The sequence below is a fragment of the Homo sapiens genome, chromosome 3, assembly GCF_000001405.40.
Source record: "Homo sapiens chromosome 3, GRCh38.p14 Primary Assembly".
Taxonomy (NCBI): Eukaryota; Metazoa; Chordata; class Mammalia; order Primates; family Hominidae; genus Homo; species Homo sapiens.
Window position 1 is genome coordinate 24,019,313 of NC_000003.12, and position 1,600 is coordinate 24,020,912.

The window sequence follows — 1,600 nt, forward strand, 5'->3', positions numbered from 1 at the left end:
AGCCTGTTTGTGTTACAGCTTCTTCAGTCCCGTGGCTTCACTCTGGCTCGCAGCTCCTGGGATGGCCCAGCCTCACCACTGCTTCCTATTGCGTGGGGTGGTTGCCTGGTGCCAGCAGAGAGAGGGAGGGCTATAGTGTTACAGCGCTGCATTGGGGAATCTCCAGGTCTGGGCCCTCGGAAGAGTTACCACTCTTCAGTCCTGCAGTCTGAGAGCTCAGAGAGCCAGCCAGGCACGTGTTACAGCCCCTTTCCCTCCTGCTGTTTGGCGGGTCCTGAGTTCTTGTTTTGTGCCCAGGAAGAATGAGGTTATGCAGACAACTGGACGGTGAGCAAGGCAGAGAAGTGCTTATTGGGTGACCAAACAGCTCTCAGCAGAGAGAAGAGACCTGAAGTGGGCAGCTCCTATCTGTGGCAGGTCATCCCAAGGAGTGTCTGAGTCAGGCCGAGTCCAGGGATTTTATGGGTTCAGAATGGAGGAAGTGTGTGCTGATTGGTCCATGGGCCAGGCCGTGAAAAGCACCACTTGATTGGCCAAAAGGCATCATGGAAGTTCTCACTCCAGGTCGTGGACTTCACCTGTAACTGGCAGCCTGGCCCCCAAGCTTCAGGCCTTCCCTGGCTTGAAGGTGGGGTTTCACTGGGGACTCACCCCTTCCCACCTAAGAACCTGTCTGCCTTCTGTTGCCATCAACACACCATCCACAGCTGCCAGGCTGTCCACATCAACGGGGGCCAGCAGGCCTGGGCCGAGTGCCCTCAGCCCCCGGCCTCCCTCCCATGCTTGTCAGCACCCAAAGTTTCAGCCTCAGAAGCAGTTTCCAGAGGGGGGCTGAGGCAGTGGGGGGCTGGTGTGTCAGCGTTGCCCCAAGCTCGTACACACCCGGTTGGGTTGTGGCAGCACCCCGGCTCGGCTATGGGGACATGTCCACAACTTTGCTCCACTGTGGAGTGGGCGCTGGGAGCAGGGAGAGGCCAGGGAGTGGGAGTAGCCACTTGTGAGCCTGTGGGGACAGGGGGCTTCCTGGTCCCAGAGAGCACAGGGATGCCTGGGTCGAGAGCCACACTCGGGCAGCTGCAGCTGCGCCTGGAAGTGTGGGCTCTCATCCTGCCAACTTGGTAGGGCAGAGGGCTCCCACTGGGATCACCTGATCCTGGCCCCCACTGGCTCCACAGAGCGCTCAGTCCCGGCCGCGCCTCCCCTGCTGCAGCTGGTGTTCTCGCAGAGGCCACTCCAGATGGGCCGCCGCCACCATCACTGCGTTTTTGTGGATGTGTCAGTGCTTCTCTAGTAGAGATAATTAATGGAATAATTAATGGAAATCCTGGATCAAAAGCTAAACACATCTCAAATTTCAACACATTTTGCAAATTGCCCTTCCCAAAAGTCTGTAATCTCACTAGAGTGATGAGAGTTCTTCCCCATCCTTGCCAACATTTGATATCATAAAACTTTATAAATTTTGCTAATCAAATGAGCCTCAGCTGGTTTCTCATTGTTATTTAATTTCCATTTTACTGACCACTAGTGACATTGAATGCATTTTCTTATGTTTATTGTTCATTCGTTTTTCTACTTCTTTGAATTTTTCATTTGTCAT

The 1,600-nt window shown here is 54.4% G+C and overlaps 1 annotated feature.

Annotated features, from left to right (window-relative positions):
* Positions 226-520: an enhancer, noted in NCBI's record as "tiled region #5785; K562 Activating DNase matched - State 20:ReprD". NCBI's record gives its function as "activates a minimal TATA promoter and a strong SV40 promoter by Sharpr-MPRA in K562 cells {active_cell/tissue: K562}" and the evidence as "EXISTENCE:reporter gene assay evidence [ECO:0000049][PMID:27701403]".